A 21,007-nucleotide genomic window follows, 5' to 3' on the forward strand; every position below is an offset into this window, starting at 1 on the left:
CAGACTTACATTCTACATCTGTCACTAGTTAGTATACTTACCCACAGTTAACAACGGAAGTGTGTGTTTTGGGGCGATGGGGGTGTATGCTCAAATTCTGGCAAACCAGATACTAGATACCAAAAGCCAAGACTCACATGCTGAAACTCACACTTCACCTTTTCTGTCCATGTGATAAAAACAGCAGGAAACAAAATCAAACATAAAGGATGAATTCAACTACTGTGAAGGGCAGACTGTCAAAAGATTAAGATTCAACTAAAACTTCTCTTTGGAGGAACAGAGCTAAACTGGGTGAAACTATTGGACATTCCTACTCCTCCTTGGCCTGCCTTTGGTGTTCATGCCCCATTAGTGGCTTGGCTTAGGGCTTGGTACTACACAGAGGAGCTTTGCAATCCATGTACGTGCTCACCACCATTCTCCAAGAAGGCCCCGTGGGGCACTATGTGTTACTTTTCAGGGTTTGTAAAAACAACGTAAATGATCCCAAGAACTGTGGTATGGAAGATCCTGGTAAACTATTGCGGTATCAATGAGAAAAACTAAACTATGTTGTTTTTCCTAGTTCTGAGTAGTGGTTAAATGACTAAGAACCAGGGAAAGGAGCTGGAAACAAAGGAGAAATTAAGAAAAGGGAGCCTTCGGTAAGAGCCATGAAAATCTATGAATGGTAATACTGCCAAAACAAAAACACTCAAAGGTCTACAGAGTCCCTGAAATCATTTAAATGTATTAATATGTAATGGTGGGTCCCAGTGTTGGAAATAAACCCAAGGAGCACGACTTTCTTTGCAGGAGCACCTGGGTGCAAGGTTACCTTCTATGTTTCTTACGTACAGTATCTTCTAACAGCAGAGAACCTCCAAAGAAGGGCAGTAGTGGGGAGAAGGCGAAATTCTGTGCTCCTCTCTGAACTTTCTGCTTGAAATAACTGGTGCATAGTGAACGCTGAAGAATGACAACTCTAAGTATTTCTGTGACCTGTTGACCTTTTTTCCTAATTAAAATGACTTATCCTTCAGTGCTTTTAGAGATGTCACATTTTTATCTCAGTAGAAGTCAAATCGATTCTTCTTTCAAAACATGTAGAGCCGATGAGGCGGAGGGAACATAATTTGAGCCTGCATTTCAGAGGCCTGCTTATTCTGTAGACATTGTGGTGACCGTATTTTAATAAAAACCAAACTCCAGCATAATAATTCCATCCTGCTGTCCTGCTGGAGGACTGCAATGTTTATGGAGCTTTGGAGAACCCCTTAACCAGGATCACAATTCCAAAACAGCTTTTCCCAATGAAGGGTTAATAAAAGGATGCATGATTGGCAGGTATGAAACTAATCAATGTGTAAGAATTCTTCCTGTTTCACAGAAGAGGCCGCTTTTCCAGGGTGGTCTGCTATATGCATACAAACCATTTTCCCCACTCATAATTGCTTAGAGATGTAAACTTGTATAGGGAATCATAAACCAGGTCGAATATGAAATTTGTCCTCAATATTGCACTTGTCAAAAAAGGAAGACCTAAAGGATATATTCTAACAGCCTGGGCCTTTTTTCCAAGTCACAACATCCTATTAGTTATGTAGCTTTTAATGACATTCTAGTAACTTGTACAAAATTTATGCCTGTTCAGAGTCACTTAAAAAAAACTGGACTTCAGTCCACTTAATGACAAGCCTGATAAATGAACACTTAGACATTCAAAAAAAGACAGCAGCAAAATCAATCTTTATGTTAGTAGAAAAATTAATATTAGTTAAAACCATGCACAAAAAAAGCAACAGAGCCACAATAAGAGGGTTTTTTAAAAGCAGACTCGCGGGACTTATTTTATGAACACCTGCAAAAATGAAAAGGGTAAAAGTACTTCATTTTTGTCATTATCTTCAAAACAAAGTTAAGTCTATCTCAAGGGGAAAGAATGTAATCCAACTGCACAATGCATTCTGATTAAAGAACATGGGCACGGTGAGACAAAATAACTTTAATATGCACATTACCATCTTTTCGTTGGTCAGAACGGAAGACTTGCCAGGCTGATATTCGTAAATGCTCTTGGGCTCTGCACGATATTTTCTTGTGTCTACTTTCTTATCTGGGGGTTCCCAGTCATTTCTGCAGAAAGAAAATTCTATTAGAGCTATTTTCATGACAACTGGCATTAGCTTCCGACACGGTCTGACTTTGGATGGCTGTAGTGTAATCAAAGAACTGTTATATCCAAAGCATAACATCGGAGTCAGGGTGAACAATTTAGTTGTGTTGGTTTGCTTCTCAAAACAACCAGTTAAAGTTTGGTGTTCGCTTCTCACAAGGCTTGAGATGTCCTGTGCTCAAAACCAGGCACCAGGAAGGGGAGTGGACAAAGCAACAGGAACAGAGGCGGCAGCAGCAAAGCTGGCTCTGGAAAAATCTTTCACCTTGCTTCGCTCTATGGGCTTTTCATTCCACAGACATGCCTGTACTTCCCATTCACACTAGAGCAGTGAGAGAGAACACAGGTCCTGGAGCCAGTTGACTGTGGTTCAAATCCTGCCACACCCCTTGCTAACTAGGTGATCTTAGACAAGTATTTCACCTCTTGGTATCTCAGTTTCCTCATCTGAAAAATGGGGTTGTTGTAAGGACTAAACAATTTACATGAGACAGCACATGTAATCACTGAGCAAAGTGCCAGGCCCATAGTAACCACACAATAAATGTCAGTTGCTACCATAATTGCATTCTTCCCTGTTCCACACTGGAATAGGGAAGAGGTAACTGTGGGTTGAGACCTTAGATTCAAGTCAGTAATTGATTTTGGTTTGATTTTTGTATATGGTGAGAGATGGGGGTCTAGCTTCACCCTTCTGCATAACCAGTTTTCCCAGCACCATTTATTGAAGGGTCTGTCTTTCTCCCAATGTATGTTCTTGGCACCTTTGTGGAAAATAAGTTCACAATAGGTGTGTGGATTTGTTTTTGGGTTCTCTATTCTGTTCCATTGGTCTATATGTCTGTTTTTATGCTAGTACCAAGCTGTTTTGTTTACTATAAGCTCTAGTTTGCAAATTTTTTATTTGTGCATTACCGTACTTTGCACTGTGATTAAGTTTTTCATGCAAGGCTGTAAACTTCTTGAAGGCAGAGACAATGATTTATATATACCTATATCCTTCCATGATATATGGTTAAATCTGCAGGGAATACACCCAGTGGGTTCTGGATGAAGGCAACTATAAAGGATTTGTGGGTATACCCAGGTTTCTTTTCAAATTAATTATCAAACTCCTCAGGTAGAGGCCACTTAAGTTCGTGTGGTGCTTTTAAAAACAGCCATTAATTTGTCTGTGAGGTTGGAAAAGGTAGAGGTGTGAAATTGGATGTGTATTTAAGGAAGAAGTAAATAATTTTGTTTGGCCAGAGCCTTTTGTGTGTTGAGAAGTGGTGTAAGTTGGGGCTAGAAGATGCATGGAACTCCTGTCCAAATAGCATGAGGAGATTGCTTCAGAGGGCATTTTTAGAGATAAGAACTCAAGTCAGGTGTTTGGGACCAGCCTAGCCAACACGGCGAAACCCTGTCTCTACTAAAAAAATACAAAAATTAACCGTGAGTGGTGTGTGCACCTGCAGTCCTAGCTACTCGGGAGCCTGAGGCATGAGAACTGCTTGAACCTGGGAGGCAGAGGGTGCAGTGAGCCGAGATCACACCACTGTACTCCAGCCTGGATGACAGAGCAAAACTCCGTCTCAAAAAAAAAAAAAAAAAACTCAAGAAAAAGAAAACTGTTTTGTTTGCTGCAGGCATTTTAAGAGATTTATTAATGCTGTCACTAGAACAAGTCCAAGGCTTATGTCTCAATAATACATGTTGCATGAGTAAATGGACATTAAAAAGTGTGGCTTCTTTTTAAGTTATAGTCATTGCTATGAATATGTGAACACAGTATGCAAAAAGAATATGACAACATGTGACAAATCTTGCAGTTAAGATTTCTCTTGTGAAAATGCAAAAAGTTATGATAATGATAGTCAATATTAATTAAGCCCATACTCTTAACTTGGCTCCCATACTAGGAGCTAAGTGCTACCAGGAATGTTTACAGGTATTATCTCATTTTAACCTTGCACTATCCTTACTAGGAATCATGCTATTTTTATCCCCATTTTACAGAGGAGGACATTGAGGCTAAGAAATAAGTCACTGCTAATAGGTGACAAGGGACAGACTCAAATTCCACATTCCTAAGAATGGAGGCTCCTAGGTCTCAATGAACAACAAGGCCCAGGCTGAATGAATGAGAGACAAGCGGGCACTTACCTTTCTGAGCTTGACTTCAGTGAGGAAGAGCGGGCTGGGAGGGGTAGTGTGGCCGACCTCTTGACTACCTTCTCACCATCAATGTAGCTCATCTCACTTTTTGAGCGAGGCACAGAAAGGGGAGATTTTGCTGGAGAAAGACAGTGCAGACAAAAGACTTAAAACTCATGAAAACTGAGAACAGGGCAATTATCTTCCCTCATCCACCACTTTCCCTTCCGCCCCCACAACCAGGTTATTTGAAGTCACTTACTGTCTTCAGAAAATGAGTATCTGGGAGAGTACAGATCTGAATCATCATCTATTGAACAAAACAAAATGTAGTCAGGAGAAGTCTGGCTAAGGTAAGAGAACCAAGTTGTATGTTCCCCATTTCCACAGTCTGGTACGAGCATCCAGCCCCCCTAGGGATCCCAGCGGACAGAAGAGTGAAGCGCCAGAAGCTACACCACGGCAGAGCACGTTTGAGAGGAGCAAGGTTTGTAGGGCACACCCAACCAAACCTGTAGTCCAGGCAGGACAGTCACAACTGGCAGATGCTGCTGCCTGACATCAAGAAATGCATGGGGACAAACAGCCAAGGGTCCTTCTCTAGAGAATCCACACAACCAAAGCTGGAATGCAGGGTCTGGGTCTGGCTGAGTGGGAAGCAGGGGCTGAGATGGATCCCCGGCTGCACCAGCTCAGTGTACGGTTAAGCTCACCGAGTTCAACAGTGTCTTGAAAGGCCTCTTACCGGGGCCTCGGGCTGCTATTGGGTGGGAAGGAGAGGCCCAGAGGGTGGGTTTTCTAGCTTCTTGCCTCAGCTTTGACCTGTTTTATATGGTAAGCTTTCATACACATCATTAACAAAGAAGTTCTGCAGCTAAGAGAAGAATTTGAGAAAACCCTCATCAAAATTTGTTTTGATTCCACCTCAATCTGGTTCCCTGAGTAGATTTGTTTCCTGGGAACACAACAGACCCATCGTCAAACGGCTTCCTCTGCAAAGGTACTACTCGGAGTGAGTATCTAAACTGCATCTCTGGAGCAAATCAAACTCACGCGTGTCTCTATGGTGGGAGGTGGCTCTCCAAAGGCATGACACACATTCCTACGTAGGCTAGACACTGGGTTCTAAAACTTGCAGAACCTATACAAGACCTGAAGCCCTTGTGGAAGTGGCTGTATCTTCTGAACTAAAAATCAGACCACAGGCACATTGATGGGAACAGGTTTTTAAAGTGGGACTGTCCTGAAAATGCACTTTATCTAGTCACTACATCCATGATGGTCCCTCCAAAGCACTACACCAAAAAGAGTTAGTCTGAAATAGTTAGCCTTTCCCATTTCTAACATCTTGCTAATCTGGATTCAAAATTCACATACATGGAATGAAGACCCAATTCCTTCCCTAAAGTTCATGACAACTTTAGGAAAGCACATGAACTAACCTGCAAAGACAAGTCAAAGAATCCACTGTATGGTGGTGACTTCGTGTTAATCAAGTCCTTGTTTCTATGCAAATCATTTTAAGTTTCAGAAGAGACAAGGCCAGAATATTTTATGAAATATAAATAAGCTAACATTGCTATTATTTTGATAAAGCATTATTCAGACAGCCTCTCTAACAATCACTCCTTCTTGTCCCCTCTTTTCCCCATTTTTATTTGTCTCAGGTCTCCCTTGGCCCACATAAGGGACAGGCATCGGGTACCAAGGTACCTTTTCCCCTACTTCCTTCCCTCACTTTCAAGAATTTATCAATATCAAGGTTGAACAGGGCTTAAGGTTTTTTTCTACCAACATAGCCAAGCCTTTCACTATTTTAAATTGAGTGTGTAAGCTTATTTATGTTATCTTCTGAAAATAGAACAGGGGAAAGAGATAAAGTGGGATCCAGAAAAAGATTTTTTGAAAGATTATTCTGAAAAATTGTGTGTTGACAGTTGTTTTTTTAAACAGAACGTCTGATTATACTGACAAAATGCCATGATGTCAAAGAAAACTAAAAATGAGCTTTGATTACAGGGACTTGATTAGAAAAAATGCTGCAATGAAAATGCCCAAATGAAAAGTTAGCTAGTTAGAAGCTGATGTATGCACTGCTTAAAACGTAGCCTAGCATTTTAGCTCAAAACCCTGTACATCTCTGAATCATGGAGAAATTATAGCTTATCAGTAGATGATAAGATGAAGGTTAATTTATAACTATTACCTGGTTCATGAAGTAAGAAGCAAAGTTTTCACTGGGTGGAGAGGAGTGGCATTTAAATATTCAGGTTTTTTTGTTTTTTTTTTTTAAGCCTGAGCTCTTTAAAAAATGTTTCTATCTAGAGCTTTCTAATGTGGAACTCTAGAAGGTTTATTAGAAGAAAATGAGAAATACTGGTTGAGCGTGGTGGCACATGCCTGTAACCCCAGCACTTTGGGAGGCTGAGGTGGGTGTATCGCTTGAGGTCAGGAGTTTGAGACCAGCCTGACCAACATGGTGAAACCCCGTCTCTATTAAAAATACAAAAATTAGCCAGGCGTGGTGGCATGTACCTGTAGTCCCAGCTACTTGGGAGGCTAAGGCAGAAGAATTGCTTGAACCCCAGAGGCAGAGGTTGGGGTGAGCCAAGATTGTGCCCCTGTACTCCAGCCTGGCTGATGGAGTGAGACTCTGTCTTGAAAAGAAAAAAAAAAAGTAAGAAGAAGAAAATGAGAAATAGTTCTTATAAGATGCGGAAAAAAACAGCACTACTTGGGAAGTTTAACAATGTATGTACTTTGAAAAGGAGAGGGAGAAGCAGGAAAGTTGGAGTTGGGGGATGCAGGTAACAGAGGCGTCTGAAGAACTGAATGTGCTTAAAGCTCCTTTCTTGGACGGGCCTGGTGGCTCACATCTATAACCCCAGTGCTTTGGGAGGCTGGGGCGGGAAGATTGCTTGAGGCCAGAAACCCAAGACCAGCCTGGGCAACATAGCGAGATCCCATCTCTACAAAAAAATTTTTAAAAAATTAGCCATGCATGGCAGCACACACCTGCAGTCCCAGCTACTTGGGAGGCTGAGGTGGGAGGATTGCTTGAGTCTAGGAGTTTGAGGCTGCAGTGAGCTATGACTGTACCACTGCACTCCAGCCTGGGTGACATGACAGAGCAAGACTTTGTCTCTAAAGAAAAAAAAAACAAAAAACACTTGTTTCTTATTCAGTGTCAGTAGAGAAATCTCACCCACGCCAGGCTAACACAGGGCAGGAGAGTATCTGTGAACAAGTTTTCATTTCTCCCAAAGGGTCCACAGGTTCTGATATGTGGATTTCAGCTCATGAACTTTTAACAGGACAAACAAGTCATACAGATTCATCTGAACAACTATAACACAGGACAAGTTCTAGGGCTTGTAAAATCCATTATTTTAATTTTCGATGCTTGTCTTGTAAATCTAATGGAAGGATATTTTACCTCAGCTTATGAATAAAAATAATAATTGTAGCTCCCAGTATTAAGTGACTAACAATGGCTGGTAATTTACTAACGTCATCTCACTTCACCCTTGCAAAAAACTCCAAGAGGAACTAAATACCTCATTTTACAGACAAGGAAATGAAAGCCCAAGTAGGTTGAGAAGATTTGCCCTTAGCTGCAGAGTGAGACAGACAAAGCAGAAATGGATTTAAGGTCTTTCAGATTCCACTTCCCTATGTCATCTAGTAGCCCCGTGACAGAGATGCCTACTGTGTTCTTTCACCCCAGCTTCATCTGCCCAATCCTGGGAAAGCTGAAAGACTGGCTATTCTATTACCATGTTATTATGGAAGAGGCAGAGAAAGATGCTGTCTTGAAACTCAAGGCATGCACTGCACTGCTGGCCAGGCCAATTTCCAGCCCCTGAAGCCTTTGCCCGATTTTTGCATCCCCTCGCCCTCAGTGATGTTTAAGCAAGTTTTCTGAGTTGCCTCACATTTCTAGTTTTCCTCTTGCTGGTCTCCAGGGACAATGGATAACATTGAGTCACTCTTGCTACATCTTTTCTTTTTTTTTTTTTTTTGAGACAGAGTCTCACTCTGTTGCCCAGGCTGGAGTGCAGTGGTGCGATCTTGGCTCACTGCAACATTTGCCTCCCGGGTTCAAGCAGTTCTCCTGTCACAGCCTCCCGAGTAGCTGGGACTACAAGCTCCTGCCACCACGCCCAGCTTGTTTTTGTATTTTTAGTAGAGATGGGGTTTCACCATATTTGTCAAGCTGGTCTCGAACTCCTGACCGCAGGTGATCCACCCGCATCAGCCTCCCAAAGAGCTGAGATTACAGGCATGAGCCACTGCCCGGCCTCTACACCTTCTATTAATAGTTGCTGTTCCTTGCTGCCTTCTCCTGGGAGGCTAAGTCAACACTGGGGATGATGGGTATGCAGTTAGAAATACCAAGGAATGGGAAAACAGTGTAAGGAGCATGTCTGCATTTCTCCACACTAGAGCCAGCCAAATGGGACAAGTGTGCTCAATATAGTTAAGACACATTAAATGAAATGTTTCTCAAATTGTCTATTACCTAGCACCTGAAGCTCGGCCTTCAGTATTTCTCCAAAGGCCCTTTAAAACAATGCTAGAGTGGGCTCAGCTGTGCAGAAATCTTGTGGTTTCTGCTCATGGTGGAACCACATGCTAATTGTGCTCCTCAGAGCTCCAAGCAGCAGACATCAAACCTTGGCAGCAACACTCAGACCTTCCTATGCCAGTGATTTGCAGGAAGCTGTAACACTGCATGGGATTTACACAGGGTAAACAACTCACTTAGGCCTCTGAAGGTCCAGCTGAGCTCTAATGTTTACACAATGATTCTTCTTGGGCTTTGGCAATCTGTCCTTGGTAGCTCGATTTGGGGACAGCCACTCTCCTACAACTGCCAGGAGCCACATAATTGCCTTTTCAACCACAGTGACTTTAAATGAGCTTCCAAATCACTTTTTTTTCCTGTTTCTTTTTCTTTAATTTATAAAAATCTCAAAGACAACTGAAGAAAGTAGTTGTTGAAAGTTGTTCTAAAAAATTGCCTGACTAAAATGGGAGGATGGGCAAAAATCATTTGCATAACCACTTGCCTATATCAATTAAATTTCAATTTTATGCATTTCTCAGGCCTTTAAACTTAAAACAATTTTCCAAATATTAATGGCTCATTTTTGACACAATCTTTCTTCCACTGCTCAACCTAAATCCTCCTCTGGCTTTACCCCCCACACTTAGGAAGAGAAAGGATAAAAGGGTAAAGATAGTCATACATGACCCCCATGAACAAAAATAGTAGTCAGGGGAAAAGACACAGATGTAGAGTTGGGTACTGAGTCTGGGTGGGGTGGGAAAGGAAGAACAAACAAAAGGGCAAGGACGTCAGGAAGCCCAGAGAGCTTGGGGGAAAGCATTACAAAGCTGTCTATGTTTTAGTTAAAGGCCATCAAGTTCTTTTTTTTTTTAAGAGACAGGGTTTCACTTTGTTGCCCAGACTGGAGGGAGTACAGTGGTGTGATCGTAGCTCACTGCAGCCTCAAAATCCTGGGCTCAAGTGATCCCCCTGCCCTGACCTCCTGAGTAGCTGGGATTACAGATGTGGCAATCAAGTTCTAAAGAATGCAAAAAAAAAGACCAGGATAGGGTGTACAGTAGTTATAGAAGACACAGAGAAAAAAATAGAACTCTGAAGAAGAGAATGAGGTGGGGCAAAAAATAAGTTAAAGGAGAAAGTTTGGGAGAACCATAGGGTTAGAAGAAGACTCACCGTCTTCATCTGCTATCGAACTCCTGGGCCGTGAAGGTGGAAAGGGAGTAACTGCTACCGTTTCTTAACTGTCCCACAGGCCAGTCAATGCCTTTTGCACTTGCTAGGCGGAGATCTCCTGGGAAGCTCTCATTAGGAGAACGACTCAGACTCTCCCCTGGGCAGTACTGGCTGGAGTCTGGGGCAGGAGGCACAGATCCCGGCCAAGCATCTTCACAATAGAATTATTTGCTTGAACTCAAACAAAACAAAGCTATTCTTACAAATCCTGTAAGGCCAGTAGAGAATTATTTTAACTCAACTACAGCTGTGCCTGAGAAGATGCACCTCTTTAAATCCTTGCCTTAGTGCAATCTCTTCTAGGAATGAGGAAGAAGCACTGAGACAGACCATTTTGACACCACAACCTGGGGATGCCTAGAGGTGGTGTCTTGAGTGACATCACCGAGAGGTGGCAGTGGCCACCACCAGCCTGAAGTGGTAGAAGAGGCATCACAAAGCATGGGAAAAAAGCTGGTCTCTGGGGCTTCACCTGGACTCGCCTTCTCACTGACATGGTCCAGGAGGTCCTCACAGGTCACGGAAAGTCAGGAGAAGCCACGGACCATGAAGTAACATACCAGTTATCTGGTTTTGCTGCAAATTCTGAGCCATTATTTGAAAATATTTTCCCTCTTCTTGACATCAAATGTGCCAAGTGAGCCAACATCATTTGGGCGTGTTCAGAGTAGGGGGCGCTAATTCTATAAAATCTGCATTCTCCATTCTCATCCTATATCCATATTCCCAAAACTGCATCTGGCCAATTTTCTTCATCTCTTTTTGGGGGCTGGGAAGAGTGGTATTTCCCCATCCCAGTGGTTCTCAATCCTGTCTGTCAATCACTTGAGGAGTTTTCCTAACTATATATTCTTTTTTTTTTTTTTTTTTTTTTTGAGACAGAGACTCACTCTGTTGCCCATGGTGGAGTGCAGTGGTGCGATCTCGGCTCACTGCAACCTCTGCATCCCAGATTCAAGTGATTCTCTTGCCTCAGCCTCCCAAGTAGCTGGGATTACAGGCGCCTGCCATCACGCCCACTGGCTAATTTTTTTTTTGTATTTTTAGTAAAGACAGGGTTTCACTATGTTGGCCAGGCTGGTCTCGAACTCTTGACCTCAGGTGATCTGCCCACCTCGGCCTCCCAAAGTGCTGAAATTACAGGCATGAGCCACCGTGCTGGGTCCCTAACTATATATTTCCAGGCACCATCTGGGAGGTACTGGCTTAGCAGACTGAGGCAGGACTGACTCAGGGGAAGCTGAATGCCTGCAGTCAGATACCAGAGAGCCTCTGGACAAGAAGGGGACAAGCAAGAACACAGAGTCAGGAAGGGGAAAGGAATCTGCAGGGCAGTATAGCAGCGTTGAGTAAAAGCCTGTGTTAATGGAGCCCCAAACACCTAGGTTTGAATCCTGGTTCTGCTACTTACTGTGTAATCTTGCATATATTACTTAATCTCTCTGAACCTCATACTCCTCATTGATAAAATGAAGAGTTACTTCATGGGGCTGCTGGGAGAATGAAAATGAGATAACAATAGTGATATATTCAGCACAGAAACTTGTATGTGGCAAGGGCTCAATTAATGACAGCCACATAGTCACTGAGGTGGTGGTTATGTCATTATAAGACTATTATTATTAATAGGATTACCACTCTGGGCTGCTGAGATGTTGGCCACCACACTGCTGTTCCTTAAAGCAGCAGGGAAGAAAGTGGGGGACTGCATTTCTGAAGCTGTTTCTGCACAGTTTGCCCCCTCCCTTCTGCTAACATCTCTTCCATCCCGTAGACAGCAGTCTCCAAGATTACAAAATGATTAAAAGTGACTGCCCCTTCTTGGAATTTCCAAAGTTTTCTTTTTTTAAAAAGAACATTTTAACCCTCATTGACTGAGACATGATAACTCTATTTATAGTCTAAAAGTCTGGCCAAAAGTTTGCTTTTTCACTGTAGCTGGGGGAAAAAAGAAGGTTGCTAAGCCAGCATAAACAAACTTTCACACAGTCCCTTACTATTGAGGAGGATCAGCTTTGAGAGCTTTAGAAATGTCTTTTTTATACTGTATAAACAACTAGAATTTAGACAGAGATGGCAGCCCTTAGGCTAGGCTTTGATAGGTTTATTACAAATAATTCTAGTTCCAAATTCTGAATTAAAACCAAACAAAAAAACCCAGCAGTAAAAACAAACTTCTCCCCAGGAGAGAGACTCTGGAATGATGGCTCAGATTTCTCAGTAACGCTGTTTCTTAATGCACATTAACATCTGTGGGTAGAGCCTCCACTTGGTGCTGATCTGTCTTGAATGCCTTTCTTTGAAAGGCATACATCTTTCCTATGTTAAGAAGGATGTGCATAGAGCGCAGGGCCACCTATCGGGGAGCACAGAGCTGGAGCAGCACCACGGACAGGGCTGATGAGGCCCTGCTGGAGCTCACAGACAACATGAAAACCACAAATCAAGGATCAAGAAATCCAGAGACTCTCTTGAAATGGTTTAAAAAAAAAAAAAAAAAAACCTCAAAACCAAAAACCCTGTGATTATTTTAAATGATCTAGCTCAAATGTTTCCATCACTTGTAAGAAGCCTTGATCTAATTGAATACATCAGTGATCTATGCCCGGATATGTCATCTAGGCAGGAGTGGGGGCGTGAGATGGAATTTACCCTATTTTTAAAAGATCTCCAGGGAGGATGTCTTTTTAGAAACTTGTGTTAAAGTCTAATCATCTTTGCTATTAATTTTTTTATATCCAACCTAATTTTTTCCTTTTTATTCTTTAAGACTATTTCTTCCTTTCGGTCTCTGAAAATAAAAAAATAGTAAGGTTTGCTTCTAAATTATATGTGATAAGTTATCATGACATCCCTTACTGTTTATGCCTCTATGCAAAATAAATCCAGTTCCCCATATGCTGGACTTGATGCATGCCAAAAATCAGACGTGATCGTCAGCAGGGGTTGCTAGGTATGGTGGCTGATGACACAGGAGCTCTGGCTGTGCGGCCATGAAACCCTGTCTTTGGACCAACAGCCAAGCTGACTGTGGAAGCTGTGGGTGCTGCCTGTGGCAGGCCTAAGGCAGTCTTCCAGTCTGATGGGAGCCACTGTTCCTCTCCACAGGATTTCTTCAAGTGGGCCTTCCTTTGCCTGTGTCCGTGGGATACTGTGCCTTCTGCATGCTCTGTGCTTGTTGCCTTGAAGGAAACTCTTATCTTACGAGTTTGGCTGGGTTTGCAAGTCTAAATAAAGCACAAATCGAAAATTGCAACTAGTCAAAATTACTCTGAAAAAACTCCCTAACTCAACTCAGTCAGTTGTTTCTTCACCAATGCTTTTGTGTGGTAATCAGTATCATGAGACAGAAAGACTGCGCTCTCTACACCAAATAGACTCTTCTTGGCCTTGAGGAAGACACTGATCAGAATTAAATTATCAGCTTTTAGTTCTGTAAGTCTGGGTTTGTTTGGTAGACCTTTCTTTTCATTCAAAATAGGCCCCAGGTATGAAATGGTTGGAAACCAATTACTGGGGCATATGAGAGACCAAAAATGGCCTATGGTATTTTAACTGTATCCAACACATCCCAGTGTGTCATCTCATATATGACTGATCAGTAAGAGTTTGGTGAATGATTGAATGAACAACTTTACCAATGATGAGAAGGGCTGAGAGGGATGGTCTGCTGAGCAGATTAGAGTAGAGAAGCATCAAGATGGTGGCACTGGCATTCATCCCTAAGAAAGAACTCTGGCTCCACAGTCCAAAGCCTTCATCATCGCTGTTTTCCAGGTATTGCTGAGGGCCCACTGTGTGCCGGCAAGGTTTTCTGTGGCGTTCTGGACACACGCTCTCACAACTGCCCCCACACTGGACTCAGTCAGCTGAAGTGACCTTGCTGAACTCTCTGCCAGATGGGAACTTCTGAGGATGGGGTACATGTCCTATTCATGGCATTACTTCCAACGACAGTGCCTGGCACACAGCAAGTGTTCAATACTACTTGAATGAATGAAGTTCAGAGCACTCAACATCTCATCCTAGAACAGTATTTAACAAAACTTCCTCCTCCATACCGTATCTATTCACCCTCATCTGGATTACTCATCCAAAGATCAGATAATCCCTGCTATTAGGATAATTCTCAAGATGTTGCCCCTAACTCACATTTTAGAAACTTCCTTGACATTTAGACTTTTTCCCCAGAAATAATATTTCTTAGACACAAATGTGACTGTCTTCCCCAGCAGGTACAAATTCCTATCCAGCTCTTTCATTAAATGTTTTCCAGCTTAGCTAAAACCCTTATTTTCAAGAAATGTCATCTCCCACTATGACTGAATCTTATACCTGGATACCTCTTTAGGAATTCCCTACCAAAGAGAGATACCCTGAGGGCCCATGAAAAGAGTTAGTTGCAGGCATGAGAACTGGGTAATTTTCCTGTTGACGGTTACAGATCTACCTCCTGCCCACCCGCTATAATGACTCAGCTTCCCTGAGTCACTGCTCAACCACCAGCATCAGGTGACCACCTCAGGTACAAAGCCTTGGGTAGTTGGGTAAAGGCAGCTTTGACCAGAGCCCCACATGTTCAAAACATTGTAACTAAGCTAACACTGGCTACCCCGTTAATCATGTAAACCCTAGGGGAATAGGACTAAAATACCATCTGGATAGACTCCGGTGATACAGTCAGCAAGGAGTGAGACACCACCACAAAACACAAGGTTAGAGGGAAGCAAATGACTGGGAAACAGCCCTTAGCCACCAGGAAAAACCCCAAGGTAAAAAAGAAAGTAGCAGCACCAGTACGGAGAGGCACACAATTTTCCTTTAATTACCTTCAGATTTAGGACTAGGAGTAGATGCAGGAAACTGGTAGGTGGGAGTGTAAGGATTGTCCTCTGTAGCAGAGAAAAGCAGTGGATTTTGAAACTATCCACCAGGAAGTAGAGGAAGTGACAAATCCCAATTGACTCTTTCGAATGACTGATTACCTATTTTAGTGTTATTAAAGCACACAGGCATCACACTTAAAAATAGATTAATGAATTAGAAAGGATTTAGTTATTTTAACATAGCACATCATGCAAATGAGTGAAATAAAATTTTCACCAGCCAAAAATGACTATGAAAATAAAATCTAAAAGCCCAAATCTTATGCCTACAATGGAACTATAAGAATTAATTTAAAGCTCGGACAACAGATATGCTGTCTAAGTTTATGGTACCTTCGGAAGTTTGCTGGATTTCAGGAAGTTCAGGGAATTTGTACGTAGGGAAATAAGGGTTTTCTTCAGGAGTGTCTAGGCAGAGGAGCAGGTTTGGGAGAGAGAATAGAGGAAGATACAAATGGAGAGAATAAACGAGTAGGAATCCACATACAATTTAGGCTCCTTGAATTCTGGAACATACTAAGCTTCACTAGTGATATGAAAGAAATTCAAACTGCTTTTAAAAATCCAGTCCTTTTGCCTGAATTACCGAGACACATAGAAAGAGACAATACCATTACTCTTCTTGGACAAAGAATTGCCATGAACAGGCTCCAATGGGCAAGAAACATTTAACATAAAGCATCAGGTTTTTACTTTTGATAGGCAAGAAATATTAAGTATGATAATAAATAGTATGTAATAAACATGCTATCCTAACATGATTTTTTTAAATCAAAGCTTGTATTGTGGACATTCAGCAAACAAGTAGATCATTAATTTTTCAAATACCTCTGCCTACCATTAAGGCAGGTAGTTTTGTTTAGCACCTACAATTTAGATTAAGAACTATAACATGAGAACACCAAAGCTGCCTGTGGGGCAAAATTACATATTTTGCACATTTACATGCATTAATGTCTCTGCAGTTAGGCTTCCAAAGCTGGGTCTAAAGGTGAGAGTCACAGATTGCAAGACGAAATGGGCAGTGACTTCAGGAAGTGATGAGTGGAGATGACCCCATCTGATCACAGAAATCCAAGCATTTAGTTTCACCACTGTGACCACGCTCATCCACCCAACCACAGCGGATTTACTCTTCATTGGAAATGCTAAACGCCTCAATATTTAGAGCACTTCGATATTTAGAAACAGTTTGAACAGGGGCACACCCAGGTTCACTTTGAACCCAGCAGGAGTTAATTAACAGTGATGTTAGCTGGCATCCGCAGCTCATCAGAGAGATTGCACTTAGGTGGGAACACTGACCAGAACACTTTCTCTTTGCCTTCATGTGTCATCCATGACAGGCAGCCAGACTGGATGTGGGTAAGGGGAAGGGCAGGATGCTCTGCCTGTGGGAGAAGTGGTACCCTTCCCACAGTGCAGCTGCATCCCGCCTATCAGCTGACTGGCGGCACAGGCAGCGATGGGAGCCGGTGGGGTCATGTCCTGCCCAAGCACTGGCCTGCGGTTCTCCATGCTGGGTCACCTGCTGATAGCCCAGCCGGCATCTGATTTGGAAGTGCTGCTCTTTCAGCTTGAGCGGGCTTTGGTGTGTCAGCTCCTGACTGACTCTCAGGGCTACCTGCCAAGGGCTGGCTCTCAGCTGGGGCAGATTATTGTTCGTATTAACACAGCCTGAGAGGCGTACTATGCATTCTACTTCACAAGGCCAAATGTGTTCTCCTTTAGACCTGTGACATTCTCCGGAGGAAAGGAAGCAGAACAAACACAGAAAGGTACATGATTGGTCCAAGGTTACCCGAGTGCTTGGGGGACTCAATCCAGGTGAGAACATTTTTTTTTTTTTTTGAGACAGAGTTTCACTCTTGTTGCCCAAGCTGGAGTGCAATGGCGCAATCTTGGCTCACCGCAACCTCCGCCTCCCGGGTTCAAGTGATTCTCCTGCCTCAGCCTCCAAGTAGCTGGGATTACAGGCATGTGGCACCACGCCCAGCTAATTTTGTATTTTTAGTAGAGATGGGGTTTCTCCACATTGGTCAGGCTGGTCTCGAACTCCTAACTTCAGGTGATCCACCCGCCTCAGCCTCCCAAAGTCCTGGGATTACAGGCTTGAGCCACCGCGCCCGGCCAGAGAACAGTGTTCTTAATTCCCAGTTCAGTGCATTCTCAACTCACTCTGCCCACAAGGCAGTCATGGGCTGACACAGGGAGATGTACCTAAAGCTGGAAGCAGGTGGGTGATGGAGCTGCTCACATCCCAGGCAGACAGATGCTGGAGCACAGGCAGAGTGCTGGGCTCAGCCTGCTGCATTCCACATCTGGGAGGAAGGATTTGAGAGCAGATCTCAAATTCCACCTCTGAGGCAGGCACACAAGTGCTTCCTCCCTCCTGTGCTCTGAAGGTGCATGGCTGGGCTCAGGCAGACCAGTACCTAATGAGGTCCAACTGCAGGACCCAGTCTTCTGGCATCCTAGCAAAGTGAGTTCAGGCCCACAAAACGTGTATTGGCACATAGCACAGCACAGCTTCTACAAATGAAAATCAGTACCTCTGTTCAGTTTGTGGATCTGTTTAAACATAGTCTTGTACCAGTCTTTTGATCTCTCAGTGTTCTGTAGAAAAACAAAGGCAAAGAGCAAAATTAAATGACTATCTTGACACATTTCAGACCTCCTATGATTTCAAAATCAAAATGGAAAGTAACAATATCTGAATTCAAAACTCAGCCACATTTATCTTTTTTAAAAAGGCAAAACTTTTTAGAAAGAGAAAAACCAAGAGTCCCAAACCTCAATCTACAGGGTAATATTTGGCTGAAAGGATACAGATTTTGAAAACAGTGGATGAGGATACACTTGAAAGGTATCCATTTTTAAATTTTTAAAATTTCACTTTTAGATAGAATCTCTCCATATATAGACTGTGCCAAACTGAAGGAAAGTCTCCTAGAAATATAAGAGACAAAGGATATTTGCTTATCATGCTGTGCCCCCAACCATTCTAGATTATTCAACAGCAATGTATCCGAGTCACCTTGCATAGGGCCAGATTTAGAATGCATACATTAAAACATAACTCGTTATAGCATCCACTGCCAGAGTTTTCACCCTAACCACAAAGTTGGAATGGTTGGGCTTTTTTTTTAAGATAAAAATAAAACAAGGAAGGTGACAGATAGGTGGCTAGATATTTTCACTCCCACTTTACAGAAGAGGAAATGAGATACAGAATGACAAAGCAAACTGCCCAAAGTCACAGAGCTGATGAGAAGGTGAGTGGAAGGGCCATCCAACGTGACGGTTAGGGGTAAGGGTTTGGGAGTCAGACAGACCATTCTGTCACCCACAAGCTGTGCAATCTTGGATGAGTAACAAATCCCTGAGTCCCCATTTCCTCATCTATAAGATGGAAATGATATTAGTATCCATTACTCACTTGGATGAGTGATGCTTAAATGAGATAATGTACTCAGCAAATGGTAGCTGTGATTTCTCTTAGGAATAACTCTCCTTCTATATTACTACTTAGAACCAGAGAAGAGTTATTTTGAGGCTTAGTCCACTGTGGTTTCTATTGGCCTCTTCCAAAGGGACATATTTGTTAAATGGAAATCACAGTGGAACATATTGCAGGCAATGGTCTAGTAGACACATGGAAAAGAATGGAATTCACCCAAATCCAGTTCCAAAAGTTGCCTAGCTTTATGTTAAATGTTTCTTGCCCATTGGAGCCTGTTCCCTGGAATTCCTTAGGGCCTGCAGGACTGGCAGGCCTGTGCTGCCGGGGAGAGCTGGGTCAGGGATGCCATGAGACCTGCTCTGTCCTGGAGGCTTGGCTGGCGGAATCCATTCTGAGGTTCCCTTAGTGTTCCCTACTCACTTTGGATGACATGTGATCTCCCATCCAGGGAGATCTTCCTGAACCTGTCAAAAGGGACCTTGGGCCTCACACTCTCCCCAGGATTCTCTTACCCTGGACCAGGAATTTCTCAACATGCTCCACACAGAACAATAATGAAGACTGCCCATAACATTGTCCCTAGAACACTCACATACTCAAAGCCTCTGAAAAGTTCTACAGCAGAGAAATCTCTCTGACTTGGTCCACCCAGCTTTTCCTCACATTTACTTGACCACGAAACCCTTTATTCATAGGACTTATAACATCCAACACCCACTTTGGGAAAAGCTGTTGTACACCAAGTCTGGAGCATAGCTTCTGGGGGATCTGGCACTCATGGGGCTTACAGAGACGATGGTGTGATGGGGTTCACATGTACTCAGAGTGTACACTTGTCACAGCTTAAGATGAAGCCTAAGAAGGACCTCTAAGTCAATATACATACCCGGAGTGGGATGCCCACTTCATCCATGGAAACATCGCTTAAGTCCTGAGTGCTCTTCACCACCCGCCTACTGTCATCCTTTGCTCTTTTTTCAATAGCCTTGCCAGGTGAGGTGGGTTTTTCCTGGGTTGGTGCTGAGTCCTGCTCTCCCACTCTTCTTTCTGAGACAGGATCTGGAAATGAAAAGCAATTGTTAGCTGAAGCTCTTTTGGTAGCTGCAAAACAAAACGCTCCTGAACAGGCTAGCTGGGGGGAAGCGTGTCTGCTAATTCTCAACTGGAATTAGTTCTGTTTAGAGCAGGGGTCAGCAAACTTTGGCCCATGGGCTGATTTTACTGGAACACAACCATGCCAATTCCTTTACATATTATTTATGGGTGCTTTTGCACTACGATGGCCGAGTTGAGTAGCTGTGACAGAAACCATATGGCCTGCAAAGTCTAAAATATTTATCATCTGGTCCTTAAAAAAAAAAAAAAGCCTTGCCAACAGTGTGATCAGAGCTTTGCAGAGGTATGCACATCGTGCTCTGGTCAACTGAGTAGTTCTGACTGTTCTAGAAATTAAGGAACAGGTAGAACCACAGGATGGGGCTAACATTACTTGAAAGTTTTCGATTCCTCTTGAGGAAGTCACTTAACTTTTCCATGCCTCAGTTTTCCTATCCAAAAACAGGGATAACACTTCTATTGGCAAGCTCACAGCAATGTGGTGAGAGGACTTATCAGGATAACTTATGCCAAAGTGTTCAGGAAGCTGTACATTGCTAAGTATACATTATAGATTATTTTTGTTCAAGACTGGAAGATATAGAGCACTAACAAAGATACCACATATGACCTAAGATTATAAAATTACTTAATAGAATCTGGCTTCCAAGCTATGACATTTATTTATTGGGCAGACATTGTGCTCTGCCTTGTGGACATGAAGGTGAGCATTCCAGAATCTTAGCCTTCAGGGAGCTTACAGTCTAGTGGGCAGAAAAACCAAGTGAGCCAGCAATGAGAATGCAGGGTGACAAAGGCCGATTCTCAGAAGAGAAGCCAATCAGACTCACAGGAAGCGAAGGGTGCTCCAGAGGAACAGCTTAAATAAATGCTTGGGGGCCTCTGGACTACTGAGCTAATTATGTGCCAAGCAATGCAATAAACTCTTCATTTACGTTCTCTCATTTTATCCTCCCAAAGATCTATGAGGAAGAAACTATTATCACCTTTTTTTTTTAATAGTTAAAGGATCAATACACAGAGAAGTTAAAGTACCCTGCCTGCGGCCACACAACCAGCTCATAGCCAAGCTGTGATGTGGCCTAATGTCCACCTGACTCTAGCAGTCCTCTCTGAACCACATCCTGTCTTGCCTCTTTCAAAGATGGTACCAAGGTTTCAAGTCTGGAAGCCTGGCCTAAGCCAAATGGAGAAGTTAGAATTGGGTTAGGAATGGGAGGGAGAAATGGCTGCTTCCATATGGACTATGGTAACTTTGAGAAGACAGCAAGATACTCAAGTAGGAATGCCCTAGAGATCCCTAGAGGAACTATGAAGGGGCCCAGGTGAGACACCCTAACAGGAGTGCAACTTTGGAGGCATCAGCCCAAAAGTGATGGCTGACGCCAGGGAGATGGCAGAGCTCAGTGGTGGACAGAAGCAAGGCCAGAGTAAAGCGCTAA

General features: G+C 43.0%; 1 protein-coding gene across 79 annotated transcripts in view; it reads right to left on the minus strand.

Moving 5' to 3' along the window:
- Window positions 1-21,007, minus strand: part of SORBS1 (sorbin and SH3 domain containing 1) — a 249,599-nt gene that overhangs the window by 67,909 nt on the left and 160,683 nt on the right. For 45 of the 79 annotated variants that reach the window (NM_001384455.1, NM_006434.4, NM_001034957.3 and 42 more), the window contains 5 exons: window positions 19,336-19,508; window positions 17,539-17,602; window positions 4,557-4,604; window positions 4,304-4,433; window positions 2,004-2,118 (listed from right to left, as the gene is read on the minus strand). In NM_001384455.1, coding sequence (NP_001371384.1) covers window positions 2,004-2,118; window positions 4,304-4,433; window positions 4,557-4,604; window positions 17,539-17,602; window positions 19,336-19,508 — 530 coding nt within the window. Of the gene's footprint in view, window positions 1-2,003; window positions 2,119-4,303; window positions 4,434-4,556; window positions 4,605-7,309; window positions 7,439-14,929; window positions 14,993-15,319; window positions 15,395-17,538; window positions 17,603-19,335; window positions 19,509-21,007 lie in introns of all 79 variants that reach the window. The other 34 variants (XM_017015540.2, XM_017015533.2, XM_047424470.1 and 31 more) reach the window with 6 other exon arrangements.

This window comes from Homo sapiens, chromosome 10, assembly GCF_000001405.40.
Source record: "Homo sapiens chromosome 10, GRCh38.p14 Primary Assembly".
Classification (NCBI taxonomy): Eukaryota; Metazoa; Chordata; class Mammalia; order Primates; family Hominidae; genus Homo; species Homo sapiens.